The following is a 15,106-nucleotide window of genomic DNA, read 5'->3' on the forward strand; positions in this document are numbered from 1 at the left end:
CACCTCACCAATTTTAAATCGGGTAAGCGGCCTCTTCTTACTCTCTTCTCGAACCTCTCTCACTATCCCTCAACCACTTTCTCCTTTCAATCTTGGCACCACCTTTCAATCTCTCCCTTCTCTTAATTTCAATTCCTTTCATTTTCTGGTAGAGACAAAGGAGACACGTTTTATTTGTGGACTCAAAACTCCAGCGCCGGTCACAGACTTGGGAAGGCAGCCTTCCCTTGGTGTTTAATCATTGCAGGGACACCTCTCTGATTATTCACCCATGTTTCAGAGGTGTCTGACCACATGGGGACGCCTGCCTTGGTCCTTCACCCTTAGAGGCAAGTACCGCTTTTCTAGGGGGCAAGAACCCCTGATCCCTTATTTCCTTGCCCTGACCTCTTATCTCTGTGCCCCGATCCCTTATTTCTGTGCACCGACCTCTTATCTCTGTGCCCTGATCCCTTATTTCCGTGCCCCGACCTCTTATCTCTGAGCCCCGATCCCTTATTTCCATGCCCCGACCTCTTATCTCTCTGCCCAATCCCTTATTTCCGTGCCCCAATCTCTTATCTCTGCGCCCCAACCCCTTATTTCCATGCCTCAACCTCGTATCTCTGTGCCCCAACCCCTTATTTCCACACCCTGACCCGTTTACCGCTTTTCTAGAAGGTAAGAACCCCTGAACCCCTTCCCTCCCTGTCTCTACTCTCTCTTTTCTCTGGGCTTGCCTCCTTCACTATGGGTAACCTTCCACCCTCCAGTCCTCCTTCTTCTCCCTTAGCCTATGTTCTCAAGAACTTAAAACCTCTTCAACTCACACCTGACCTAAAACCTAAATGCCTTATTTTCTTCTGCAATGCTGCTTGACCCCAGTACAAACTCGACAGTAGTTCCAAATAGCCAGAAAATGGCACTTTCAATTTTTCCATCCTACAAGATCTAAATAATTCTTGTCATAAAATAGGCAAACGGTCTGAGGTGCCTGACGTCCAGGCATTCTTTTACACATCAGTCCCTCCCTAGTCTCTGTGCCCAGTGTAACTCGTCCCAAATCTTCCTTCTTTCCCTCCCGCCTGTCCCCTCACTCCCAACCCCAAGCGTTGCTGACTCTTTCTAATCTTCCTTTTCTACAGACCCATCTGACCTCTCCCCTCCTCGCCAGGCCGAGCTAGGTCCCAATTCTTCCTCAGCCTCCGCTCCTACACCCTATAATCTTTTTATCACCTCCCCTACTCACACCCGGTCTGTCTTATAGTTTCGTTCCATGAGTAGCCCTCCCCCACCTGCCCAGCAATTTCCTCTTAAAAAGGTGGCTGGAGCTAAAGGCATAGTCAATGTTAATGCTCCTTTTTATTTATCCGACCTGTCCCAAATCAGTTAGTGTTTAAGCTCTTTTTCATCAACTATAAAAAACCCAGCCCAGTTCATGGCCCCATTAGCAGCAACCCTGAGACACTTTACAGCCCTAGACCCTAAAAGGTCAAAAGGACGTCTTATTCTCAATATACATTTTATTTTATTACTGAATCTGCTCCCAACATTAAATAAAGCTCCAAAAATTAAATTCCGGCCCTCAAACCTCACAACAAGACTTAATTAACCTCACCTTCAAGGTATACAATATTAGAGTAGAGGCAGCCAAGTAGCAACATATTTCTAAATTGCAATTCCTTGCCTGCACTGAGACAAACCCCAGCCACATCTCCAGCACACAAGAACTCCAAATGCCTGAACTGCAGCTGCCAAGTGTTCCTCCAGAACCCCCAGGAGCTTGCTACAAGTGCCGGAATCTGGCCACCAGGCCAAGGAATGCCCACAGCCCGGGATTCCTCCTAAGCCGTGTCCCATCTGTGCAGGACCCCACTGAAAATCAGACTGTTCAACTTACCTGGCAGCCACTCCCAGAGCCCCTGGAACTCTGGCCCACGGCTCTCTGACTGACTCCTTCCCAGATCTTCTCGGCTTAGCAGCTGAAGACTGATGCTGCCCGATCACCTCGGAAGCCTACAAGACCATCACAGATGCTCTAGGTAACTCTCACAGTGGAAAGTAAGTCCACCCCCTTCTTAATCAATACAGAGGCTACCCACTCCACATTACCTTCTTTTCAAGGGCCTGTTTCCCTTGCCTCCATAATTGTTGTAGGTATTGATGTCCAGGCTTCTAAACCTCTTAAAACTCCCCAACTCTGGTGCCAACTTAGAAAACATTCTTTTATGCACTCTTTTTTAGTTATCCCCACCTGCCCAGTTCCCTTATTAGGCCAAGACATTTTAACTAAATTATCTGCTTCCCTGACTGTTCCTGGACTATAGCCACACCTCATTGCTGCCCTTTTCCCCAGTTCAAAGCCTCCTTCACATCCTCCTCTCGTATCCCCCCAACTTAACCCACAAGTATAAGATACCTCTACTCCCTCCTTGGCGACCGATCATGCACCCCTTACAATCTCATTAAAACCTAATCACCCTCACCCCTCAATGCCAATATCCCATCCCACAGCACGCTTTAAAAAGATGAAAGCCTATTATCACTCACCTGCTACAGCATGGCCTTTTAAAGCCTATAAACTCCCCTTACAATTCCCCCACTTCACCTGTCCTAAAACCAGACAAAGCTTACAGGTTAGTTCAAGATCTGTGCCTTATCAACCAAATTGTTTTGCCTATCCACCCCATGGTGCCAAACCCATATACTCTCCTATCCTCAATATCTCCCTCCACAATCCATTATTCTGTTCTGGATCTCAAACATGCTTTCGTTACTATTCTTTTTCACCCTTCATCCCAGCCTCTCTTCGTTTTCACTTGGACTGACCCTGACAGCCATCAGGCTCAGCAAATTACCTAGGCTGTACTGCCACAAAGCTTCACAGACAGCCCCCATTACTTCCATCAAGCCCAAATTTCTTCCTCATCTGTTACCTATCTCGACATAATTCTCATAAAATCACATGTGCTCTCCCTGCTGATCGTGTCCGGCTAATCTCCCAAACCCCAATCCCTTCTACAAAACAACAACTCCTTTCCTTCCTAGGCATGGTTAGTGCGGTCAGAATTCTTACACAAGAGCTGGGACTGCACCCTGTAGCCTATCTGTCCAAACAACTTGACCTTATTGTTTTAGCCTAGCCCTCATGTCTGCGTGCAGTGGCCGCCACCGCCCTAATACTTTTAGAGGCCCTCAAAATCACAAACTATGCTCAACTCACTCTCTACAGCTCTCATAATTTCCAAAATCTATTTTCTTCCTCACACCTGATGCATATACTTTCTGCTCCCCGGCTCCTTCAGCTGTACTCACTCTTTGTTAAGTCTCCCACAATTAAGATTGTTCCTGTCCCGGACTTCAATCCGGCCTCCCACATTATTCCGGATACCACATCTGACCCCCATGACTGTATCTCTCTGATCCACCTGACGTTCACCCCATTTCCCCATATTTCCTTCTTTCCTGTTCCTCACCCTGATCACACTTAGTTTATTGATGGCAGTTCCACAAGGCCTAATCGCCACACACCAGCAAAGGCAGGATATGCTATAGTACAAGCCACTAGCCTGCCTCTCAAAACCTCTCATTGTGGTAATCTGTCCTCAAAGAAATAACTTCTCAGTGTTCCATCTGCTATTCTACTACTTCTCAGGGATTCTTCAGGCCCCCTCCCTTCCCTACACATCAAACTCGAAGATTTGCCCCCACCCAGGACTGGCAAATTAGCTTTACTCAACATGCCCCGAGTCAGATAACTAAAATACCTCTTAGTCTAGGTAGACACTTTCAGTGGATAGGTAGAGGCCTTTCCTACAGGGTCTGAGAAGGCCACTGCAGGCATTTCTTCCCTTCTGTCAGACATAATTCCTCACTTTAGCCTTCCCACCTTTGTACAGTCTGATAACAGACCAGCCTTTATTAGTCAAATCAGCCAAGCAGTTTTTCAGGCTCTTAGTGTTCAGTGAAACCTTTATATCCCTTATGGTCCTCAGTCTTCAGGAAAAGTAGAATGGACTAAAGGTCTTTTAAAAACACACCTCACCAAGCTCAGCCACCAACTTAAAAAGGACTGGACAATACTTTTACCACTTTCCCTTCTCAGAACTCAGGCCTGTCCTCAGAATGCTACAGGGTACAGCCCATTTAAGGTCCTGCATAGATGCTCCTTTTTATTAGGCCCCAGTCTCATCCCAGACACCAGACCAACTTAGACTGTGCCTCAAAAAACTTGTCATCCCTACTATTTTCTGTCTAGTCATACTCCTATTCACTGTTCTCAACTACTCATACATGCCCTGCTTTTGTTTACACTGTTTCTCCAAGCCATCACAGCTGATATCTCCTGGTGCTATCCCCAAACTGCCACTCTTAACTCTTAAAGTAAATAAATAATCTTTGCCGGCAAGGCTATGCTGACCCTCTTTAAGCACTCTCTAATTAGATGTCCTAAGTCCTCCCAATTCTTAGTCCTTTAATACCTGTATTTCTCCTTCTCTTATTCCGTTTAGTTTTTCAATCCATACAAAACCGTATCCAGGCCATAACCAGTAACTCTACATGACAAATGTTTCTTCTAACAACCCCACAATATCACCCCTTACCACAAAATCTTCCTTCAGCTTAATCTCTCCCACTCTAGGTTCCCACGCCGCCCCAATCCCGCTCGAAGCAGCCCTGAGAAACATCTCCCATTATCTCTCCATACCACCCCCCAAAATTTTCACCGTCCCAACATTTTACCACTATTTCGTTTTATTTTTCTTATTGATATAAGAAGACAGGAATGTCAGGCCTCTGAGCCCAAGCTAAGCCATCATATCCCCTGTGACCTTCATGTACACATCCAGATGGCTGGTTTCTGCCTTAACTGATGACATTCTACCACAAAAGAACTGAAAATGGCCTGTTCCTGCTTTAACTGATGACATTATCTTGTGAAATTCCTTCTCCTGGCTCATCCTGGCTCAAAAGCTCCCCTGCTGAGCACCTTGTGAACACCCCCCACACCTGCCCGCCAGAGAACAACCCCCCTTTGACTGTAATTTTCCTTTACCTACCCAAATCTTATAAAACAGCCCCACCCCTATTTCCCTTCGCTGATTCTCTTTTGGGACTCAGCCTGCCTGCACCCACGTGATTAAAAGCTTTATTGCTCACACAAAGCCTGTTTGGTGGTCTCTTCACACAGACACACATGAAAACGGGAATTGTTTCAGATCAGAGATAGAGACAGGTGTGAGTTGGGAGCAGCCCCTGATCCTGGATGGGATCTTTTGCCACAAAGGACATTGCTGGAACCATCAAGGAAATTTGAATTCAGTCTCTGGGCAAAGAGTATAAAGGAGTCCTGGGTGCTATTCTGGCAACTTATCTGTAATTTACAACGTGTGACTTTTTCCCCCAGGGTTAGAGTTATTTATGTGTTGTCTTCCTTCCTACTCCATCAGCTGCTTGACTGCGGGACCCGCAGCGGGCTCAGTTAGCTGTCCCTCCACAGCACCTAGAGTGTGGTAAAGCCTCGTAAATGTTTCTGGAAGACAGGAGGGGAGAGAAGGGCCACACGGGAGGGAAGGAAGGAGCGAGGGACTGGGGGAAGCTAGCCAAAAGTAGACATGTGACCTCTCTGCCAGACAGTTCAGTTGGGCTAGATTCCTAGGTGACACTGGGCTAGATAATGATTGTGGAAAATTCTATCATTGCTTTACTTAAAGTGTCTCTAGAGGAAAGAAAAATCATTGAAGTGTGTTTTTGGACCAGCTTGTCATTAGCTGGAAAAAGCTATTTTGTTGCGTTAATTAGTTTTATTGTTTTGACATTTTAGCTTTTTAAAGGCTTTGTGCTGGAATTCAAGTACAGTATTTCATTGCCACAGAGTCTATTTTAATGAATGATTATTATACAAATGAACCTGCTAATAGGTTCCTTTTTTTTCCCCCAGAAAACAAACAAAATTCACAAAGAAATACTCAAGGGCCCCCACTTTATATTAAACCTGTGTGCGTGTGTTTTTCTTCCTTAAAAACAAAACAATTTTTATAAAAACCACATTTGGTTCTGCTACAAAAATCTAAATGGCTGTTGCGGTAAATTGACATGTAAGTAATGCAAGGTACTTAATAATGAGAACATTCCCACTCTATTTTTTTTTTTTTCAGATTAGAAAAGGTGCTAATAAAATAATGCATTTGCCAAGGCTCCTCAGTTTGCTCAGGAAAATCTTTTAAGGATGTTAATTCTTTGCTTCCTGTCTTAAAACCTAGTTTTTCCTGTGTGGGTACTCTGTTTTCAGGGGCCAACCTTGAACAGGCTGCTAACCATATAAACAGAAGATCTTGTTCCTGGAAGAAATGCCCCACCCATGTACTCATAAACAATGATCGCATTTGTTGGAGCTAAACCTCCCTGGACTTCATTGAATGTGGCATTACCCCATCCTAAGGGATGCCGTGGCATATTACCCAGCAGGATTCCAGTTATAAGAGCATGGTAAACAATTAGAACTCATTTACATTTTACAATTAGGTTTCACTTACATTTTACTGTGATTTTTACACGCATCAAAAGCTTTATTTCACATCTTTACTAAATCCACAAACCGTGAATTTAAGCGTCCCATATTTTTGACATGTTATTCCACATGCTAAATGTCAGTAGTCTACATTTGGTTGAACAAAGGCTAAGAATTATACAGGAGTGTGCCCAAATTGAAATGAAATGACTCTGAAATCTAAAAGCTAAGCTAAATCATTTACAGCAGCTTCGTAAAAGCCTGAGAGATGAAATGCAAATTTCCTCTGGTATTAAATAAAATATGTTTAACTCATGTCATGTATTCTAAAGGTCTCCCAGGATAGATTTCTGAAGGTCTGTCAGTTTATTAGGGCACAGATGATATCCATCAATTGGAAATCAATACTTACTGCTGGGTTGTAATTATAAATTATTGGGAAAATGCAGGTGGTAAATAGGCAGGGTATTTCTTGCTAATAGTTTGAAATAAAATTGGTTTGATTTCTAGTATGTGGGTTGAGAAATAATTTTTCTGTATTTGCTTTTAATCTTAATTTTTTTCAAGGTTTGGTTGCCAGAGGAACAGTTTATCTCTATGGATTATTGCATTTTAAATTCTGGAAAACAGTGCTCTACAAATCCAATATGATGATGTTCATAGGGAAATAACATGCATTTACATTTTATTGGTATAAATAAGAGGGAATTTTTCTGCCTCTTTTCTTTCTTTTTCATGGTCACTTTACTTCCAAATATACAACAGTGTGCATTCATTAGCCTTTTAAAACATTTTCTGTACATAATTTCAATTGCTTTTCTTTTCCAATGTTCCCTATCCTGCATTTCTGTCTATATAATAAAATATTCCTTTGTATAAATATACAAAAGAATTTTACATTCGGCAAAAATGATCTGAAACTTCACATACAGAAACGAGGTTTTTTGCCTTTTTACATAGGCTGTCTCATTTGTCCACTAAATTCTACCACTAATGTTATTTATAATGTAGATGTTCCAAAAATTGGCTTTGTTTGTCTTGTCAGCAGAGGAGAAGGATTCCACCTTCAGGACTAATTCTTTATAATCAGCATTTGCATTCAATCCTGGGAGCTTTCCCCAGTTACCTGCTATTGATTCATTTATGCCTTCAGGCCAGTATTCAGTCAAGGCCCTCTACTTTTTACCAGGCACAAATGTGACAGCTGCTGCCCTCATGGTACACAGAATCTAGTAGTCAAACATGACAACAAAGAGTGACACCTTTTGAGGCAAAGAACAGAGAAGAGGTATTTGGGGAGTGCCAGGGGAACATAACACAGGAAGCCCTAGTGGAAGGAAGTCTGCCATCTTTCCACTATGCAAGCCTTGAAAATGAAGGAAGGTGGGGAAATCTAGAGCTTACTCTCCTACCTCTCTGCTAGTCTATTAAAAAGAGGTGAAGACGAGAGAAAGATGAAAAACAGGGAGATTAGAGGGGTGGCCATGCTTCAGCTCCAGAGAACGGAGGACACAGAGCTACATTCTTGATGCAAATTCTGGAGAACTGCAATGAGCAAATCAGTGATTAGGTCATACTGAGACTGTTCCCAAAGTAAGCATGTTACCTAAGATCCTTCCTCTTATTTTTAGCAAAAGCTTCAAAGAACACCAAAAGGCCTCAGGAAGGGATTAATAATTATTTTTACTTCAAGTGCAAATGTTAATTCTACCCATAGAGTCAAATATTATAGAAATATTTTACATGAAAAAAATAAAAATATCTTATAAGGACATTTGGGGTCATCAGTACACAGCTCTAACCCATTGCCCAAACATTTTATCCTACAATATAAAATATCCACACATCCACATATGCACCACACACACAGACATGTACACATCAAACCAGAGACACATACATATAGGCTTATACACATACATACATGGAAACACACATGCAGCTACAAACATACAGATGTAGATACATATATAGCCACACAGACAGAATATCATTTAAAATAGCATCCTAGTCATAGAATAGCAAATTATGCACTCACTATTCTATTTTCAATGCGTTTTTCACTTATATCCATCATTAACGTTTCTTTCTTCTCTTTCTTTCTTTCTTTCTTTCTTTCTTTCTTTCTTTCTTTCTTTCTTCTCTTTCTTTCTTTCTTTCTCTTTCTTTTTTTTTTTCAGAGTCTCGGTCTGTCACCCAGGCTGGAGTGCAGTGGCACCATCTCGGCTCACTGCAAGCTCCGCCTCTCGGGTTCACACCATTCTCCTGCCTCAGCGTCCCAAGTAGCTGGGACTACAGGCGCACGCCACCACGCCCGGCTAATTTTTTGTATTTTTAGTAGAGACCAGGTTTCACCGTGTTAGCCAGGATGGTCTCAATCTCCTGACCTCGTGATCCACCCTCCTCGGCCTCCCAAAGTGCTGGGATTACAGGTATGAGCCACCGCGCCCAGCCCATTAATTTTTCTTTACCCACTTCCCTCTTGGCTGAAATACCCAAGATCACTGAAAACTCAAATACAGCACCTACATCTTCAAAGCCCATGTTGCTTTTCTACTCCAATGTGCTGCTCTGATATTGAGTGACACTTTCACTGACTGCCTTTAACTGAAAAGCAAACTAAGTGGGAAATAAAGATGAAAGGGAAAGGAATGTTAGAAGAGGAAATACTATAATGGTCAAAGAACCCAATCCACAAAGTTCCTTTTAGAATGTTTCTCGAATTGTCTATTCTGCTGATGATTAACCATTGAAATGCTATTTTAAACCATCTATGGTTGAATGAGCCATTTCTGTCACCCACCTCTTTAAGCCATAGGTAAGAAATCTCCACCCCCAATGGCCTTGTTCTGAGAGTTCCAAATCCTGTTTCTTAACACTAATCTTCGGATTTTGCTTTATGGACAAAAGTATGCTAAAAAGACATGAAATGAGAAAACATGAGTGTCAATTCCAGACCCATCTCTTACTGGCTGTGGAATACTGGATATGAATCGTATCTGAGTTTCACTCAGTTTCCTTATACATAAGTATCATGTCTACCCACCTTTGAGTTCTTTAATGTGTGTGGGCAGTAGTACCCCCTTATCCACGGTTTTGAATTCCATGGTTTCAGCTACCTCTGGTCAACTACAGTCTAAAGATCTTAAATAAAAAATTCCAGAAATAAATAATTCATAAGTTTTAAATTGCATGCCATTCTGAGTAGCATGATGAAATCTTATACCATCCCATCCAGATGTTTATCATCCCTTTGTCCAGCATATCCATGCTGTATATGCTCTTCGATGGTGACTTAGTAGCTGTCTCAGTTATCAGATCTACTGTCTCAGTATCGCAGTGCTTGTGTTCAGGTAACCTTTATTTTACTAAATAATAGCCCCAAGAGTAATGCTGATGGCATATTGTTATAGTTGTTCTACTTTATTGTTAGCTATTGCTGTCAATCTCTTACTGTAACTAATTAATAAACTTTATCATAGGTATGTATGTATAGGAAAAAACATAATGCATATAGGATTTGGTACTACCTGCGGTTTCAGACATCCACTGGGGGCCTTGGAAGATGTCCCTCATGGATAAAGGGAGACAACTGTATAAAAGAATAAAATAATGAACACGAGTACTTCGTTGCCTACAACATACTTGTATTAGTCTGTTCTCGCATTGCTATAAAGAACTACCTGAGACTGGGTAATTTATAAAGAAAAGCGATTTAATTGACTCACAGTTCTGCAGTCTTTACAGGAGCCATGGCTGGGGAGGCCTCAGGAAACTTACAATCATGGTGGTAGGCAAAAGGGAAGCAGGCACATCTTACATGGCTGGGGAATGAAGAAGCGAGTGAAGTGGGAGGTGCTACACACTTTTCAACAATCAGATCTCGCTGGATGCAGTGGCTCATGCCTGTAATCCCAGCACTTTGGGAGGCCAATGTGGGCAGATTACCTAAGGTCAGGAGTTCAAGAACAGCCTGGTCAACATGGCAAAACCCCATCTCTACTAAAAATAGAAGAATTAGCCTGGCATGGTGGTGCTCGCCTGTAATCTCAGCTACTCAGGAGGCTAAGATATGAGAACTGCTTGAACTCAGGAGATGGAGATTGCAGTGAGCAGAGATCTTGCTGCTGCACTCCAGCCTGGGTGACAGAGCGGGACTCTGTCAGAAAAAAAATAAGGAAAAAAAATCAGATCTCATGAGAACTCACTCACTATCACGAGAACAGCAAGGGGGAAATCCGCCCCCATGATCCAATCACTTCCCACCAGGCCATTCTTCCAACACTGAGGATTACAATTCGGCATGAGACTGGGGCAGGGGTTCAAATCCAAATCATAACAATACTATAAAAATTCAAAGCCCGACACGGGTAGTCCTAGTTACTTGGGGGGCTGAGGCGGGAGGATTGCTTGAGGCCAGGAGTTTAAGGCTGCAGTGAGCTGTGATCATGCCTGTGAATAGCCACTTTACCCCAGCCCAGGCAACATAATGAGACCCTGTCTGTAAAAGTAAAAAAAAAACCAAAAAACAAAATATTATTGTTCTTACCCCAATCATTATCATCACACAGTAAAAAAAAAGCGGGGGTGCCTATATATGTATAACTTTATGCCGGAAGAGACAGAAATAAGCATAGTCTTATCCATACAAATTTACATTCAAAAATATTTATATTCTGATCAGGCTAATTCCTTATGTATAGTGTATTTTACATTTCCCTGTCCCACTATTTAAGCATATCCTTGGAAAGCGCATTTATCAAAGAGTTTTAGGACTGCAGCATCTTTGCAAAGTTGGGAAAGTACTTTCTAGAGCACACCCAATTTTTATAAAATGAAGCTTTCATATGTTTATATAAATCCACCTTAACCTTGTCTAAACAGGTGGGTTGTGTTGTCAACCTATACATCCCTTCTTTTTCCTCCTTCATAAATTCATCCTTTGTGGATCATCACATGGTTCTTTCCATTCTCAGCCACAAGAATAATGACTTTTTTTTCCCTGATTGGAGACTCAAGCTTACAAATTAGATATGGTGGCAGTTTTCCTCCATCTGGAATGTTAGCAAGAGACTTGGCAAACTCAGGTCTTATATTATTCAGTGGTGAGACTGACAGTCTTGTGGAGTCAGAAATGGATACCGTAGATTCAGCTGCCATGTCAAATCAGATGGCAAGTCTATCATTGTTTGTGATCTGATGAGGACGGGAGAGTCAGCATTGTGGTATTACATTCTCCAGTTAAAATCAAGTGAGAGCAATTTATAACTTTCCAGAGATATCATTTAGCTGTGGTAGAGTCTATAGAATGAGTTACTCAGCCTTAAAGCAGTGCATTTCTACAATGCCTAAAGCAATGAATCTCCCATAGTATCCACAGCTCCACGAAGCTTCACATGGACCATCAGATAGGCTTTTCATCTCACATGTGTGGTGGATAAAGTTGGAGCAAGAATGATTTATGTGAGTTATGCAATATGAATTTGATACATGCACTGGTGAATCATACTGTTAAACTGAGAAATGAAAGTAAAGAATTTCCCATGAAGGGCTTCACCTTAGGGCCATATTACATATACTCATTTAAGGGCCCTTTCTCTTTTCCCCAAACAGAAGCATAAGTTTAAAAAAAAATACTTAGGACAAATCATTTGGAGATAGTTAAAAATGGGCCAGGCACAGTGGCCTATGCCTGTAATCCCAGCATTTTGGGAGGCCAAGGTGGGTGGATCACTTGAGCCCAGGAGTTCGAGACCAGCCTGGGCAACATGGTGAAACCCTCCCTCTACTAAAAAAATACAAAAATTAGCAGACCCTGGTTTGGTGGCATGTGCCTGTAGTCCCAGCTACTTGAGAGGCTGAGGTGGGAGGATTGTTTAAGCCTGGGAGGTTGAGGCTGCCGTGAGCCAAGATCCCACCACTGCACTCCAGTCTGGGTGACAGAGAGAGGACCCTGTCTCAAAATAAAAAAAAAAGAAGTCAGAAATATGAACAATTGTCCTAATTCTAAGATCTCCATCACAAAGTTAAATAATAATAACAAAAAAAGAAAAAGTAAGTGTCCAACAACATGGAAATGAATAAATGCATTATGGTCAATAAACATGGTGAAATATAATGGTACAATGAAAAATGCTTTATAATTAATTTTAATGACAAAAATGCATCTCATTAACTTCAACAAGTCAGGATATCATACTGTATCTAAATTATCATTTTAATCGCAGAAAAATCTGTATGTATGGAAAAGCAATGGAAAGAAAATATACCTAAATATGAGCAATCATTATTGTTGAAAGCAGATGTATCAGTGGTTACTTCTTTTCCTTCATATAATTTTCTATATTTGTCAACTTTTTCTACAATAGGTGTGTATTACTTTTATATTCAGGAAAAAGTGAATAGTACTAAAATAAAGTCTTTTTGAGATTACAGGCGAGTGCCACCATGCCAGTTATAGTTACTGGCTGACGGTACTTTTTGTATATGGACTTGCAGGTTGCTATTTATTCTTTTTTGTAAAAAACATTCCTCCAGAAATTTTTAAAAGAAAAGATGCTCTTTGAGATATTCCTTGAATTTAAATAATGAATAGGACATGAGCAAAAGATGCCTACATTTCAACTTTTTCCAACTGTAAGAAGTGAAGAAGCACCATTCCCTTTGTAATGACCCATATTCCCCGCCACTTTCCCCATGCATCACTGGCTAGACCCCCAGGCAGCAAGCAATCGTGCTGTGCATTGAATGACTCCTCTACTCAGTGACCTGAGGCACCCTGGGAATTTCTGACCTGCTCTATTCATTTTATTAATCATCAAAACTTTGGCTATGAGACATGTTGCTATTGAAATAATTTTACCTGTGGGGTTCATTTGGCTTTAATCATTAACTTCAGCTTTCAATCTCCTCTCCTTTATCCCCATCAGAAAACTTCTCAAGCCTCTAGTCTGGCATGGAGATTAGCGTTGAGGCCTGTTGGTTCAATTAGCCTCTGTGCTTCATTATGATCCATGACATAATGACATGATGTGATTTGCCCCAGTGCACTCTGAAGTGACTTGCTGCTGTGGTTCTGCAAGGCAGAAAGAATTTTTGAGAGGCCCCATTCTTGTTGACATCACACTTTCTAAAACACCAGATTTCCCACTGATTTTGTAGAAAATTAGTTTACATATGACTATCTCCACCAATAGGCACACATGTATGTGTACATACATATAGGCCTGCTGGCCTAAATTGAACATCTTAATTATTCTCTTATTTTGTAGGAATCACTGAATACATTTTTGGTTCCACTTTTGTTTGACTCAAAAGTGCGCATGTGTGAGCGTGTGTGTGGGGAAGATGAAGGAGGGCAGATGGAAAATGTGTTCTTTAAGATATTCCTGAAATAAATGCAACTATGTTTGTTGCTTTCCGTTTATTTTTATACACATGTGGCTATCTGACATTATGAATTTCTCTTCAGGAACTAGATACCTTCAACATTTCAGGTTAAAACCACAGAATTTGACCCTACAGTTTTTGTTTCTTTTGGTTAGATACAGAAGATGAAAGCAGACTATGCTTTTGGCCCATTCGCCTTGACATCTCATATCCATCCAGTCATGACCTCTATTCAGATCTTGGAAGGGTGAGGGCTAACTTGGTCTCCAGAGGTATGCCATAATTTATATAATTTTCCTTTGATCTGATTTGATGGTATTTTAGTCAGGGTTCTTCAGAGAAATAAAACCAATAGAAGATATATGTCTATGTATACACACACACACACACACACACACACACACACACACACACATATATATATATAAAATGAGATTTATTACAAGAAATTGGCTTATATGATTATGGAGGCTGAGAAGTCCCATGATTTGCCATCTGCAAGCTGGAGAACCAGGAAAGCCAGTGGTATAAATTCTAGTCCATGTCTAAAGGCCTGAGAACCAGGATTGCCAATGGTGTGAGTCCCAGTCCAAGGACGGAAGGCTGGTGTCTCAACTCAAGCAGTCAGGCAAAGAATGTAACCTTCCTTTGCCTGATTGTTCTATTCAGGCCCTCAACTGCTTGGATGAGGCCCACCCACATTGGAAAGGGCCATTCATTTTATTCAGTCCATTGATTTAAATGCTAATCTCTTCTAGAAACACCCTCACAGACACATTCAGGAATAAAGGTTAACCAGATATCTGGGCCTCCTGGCCCAGTCAAGTTGATACATAAAATTAACTATCACAGATGGCATTGAGCTCACTAGACACCACTCAACATCCTGTCTGGACACCCAGCTCCAGACAGGATGCTGGGAAGGACTGATGTTGAGTGGTAGTTTTGCAGGATATCAGATCACTTTTCTTTAGTTAACTGCCTTTTTCCTGTACTACCACTTTAAATCCAGGAAGTTTTTCTCAGTTGCTCTCTTATCTTAATTGCATATTTTTCATAAGGGCTTATTGTTCAAACATAGCCCTAAGATCCTATAGATTTATTATTACTCTTCTTTTTGTCCTTATTTGTTATTTCTCATCTTAATCTTATAACTTAATTTTGATTCCTCTGTGAACTTGAATCATTGGGGAAAAAACAAACAAAAAAAAGCATACCTCAGTCCTT

At 41.5% G+C, this 15,106-nt stretch overlaps 2 long non-coding RNA genes across 2 annotated transcripts in view, besides 1 other annotated feature; both read right to left on the bottom strand.

Moving 5' to 3' along the window:
* Nucleotides 1-15,106, bottom strand: part of LINC01170 (long intergenic non-protein coding RNA 1170) — a 378,727-nt gene that overhangs the window by 244,503 nt on the left and 119,118 nt on the right. The window lies entirely within an intron of this gene.
* Nucleotides 1,955-13,565, bottom strand: LOC107986448 (uncharacterized). The gene is made up of 4 exons (XR_001742871.2): nt 13,353-13,565; nt 10,021-10,082; nt 9,294-9,404; nt 1,955-1,995 (listed from the first exon to the last, which is right to left on the bottom strand). It is a non-coding gene; the product is annotated as an uncharacterized LOC107986448 (long non-coding RNA).
* Nucleotides 4,161-5,153: an enhancer, noted in NCBI's record as "OCT4-NANOG-H3K27ac hESC enhancer chr5:123644150-123645142 (GRCh37/hg19 assembly coordinates)". NCBI's record gives its function as "activates a minimal SCP1, AML or CMV promoter by ChIP-STARR-seq in naive H9 embryonic stem cells {active_cell/tissue: H9 hESC(naive)}" and the evidence as "EXISTENCE:reporter gene assay evidence [ECO:0000049][PMID:30033119]".

The sequence above is a fragment of the Homo sapiens genome, chromosome 5, assembly GCF_000001405.40.
Source record: "Homo sapiens chromosome 5, GRCh38.p14 Primary Assembly".
NCBI lineage: Eukaryota > Metazoa > Chordata > Mammalia > Primates > Hominidae > Homo > Homo sapiens.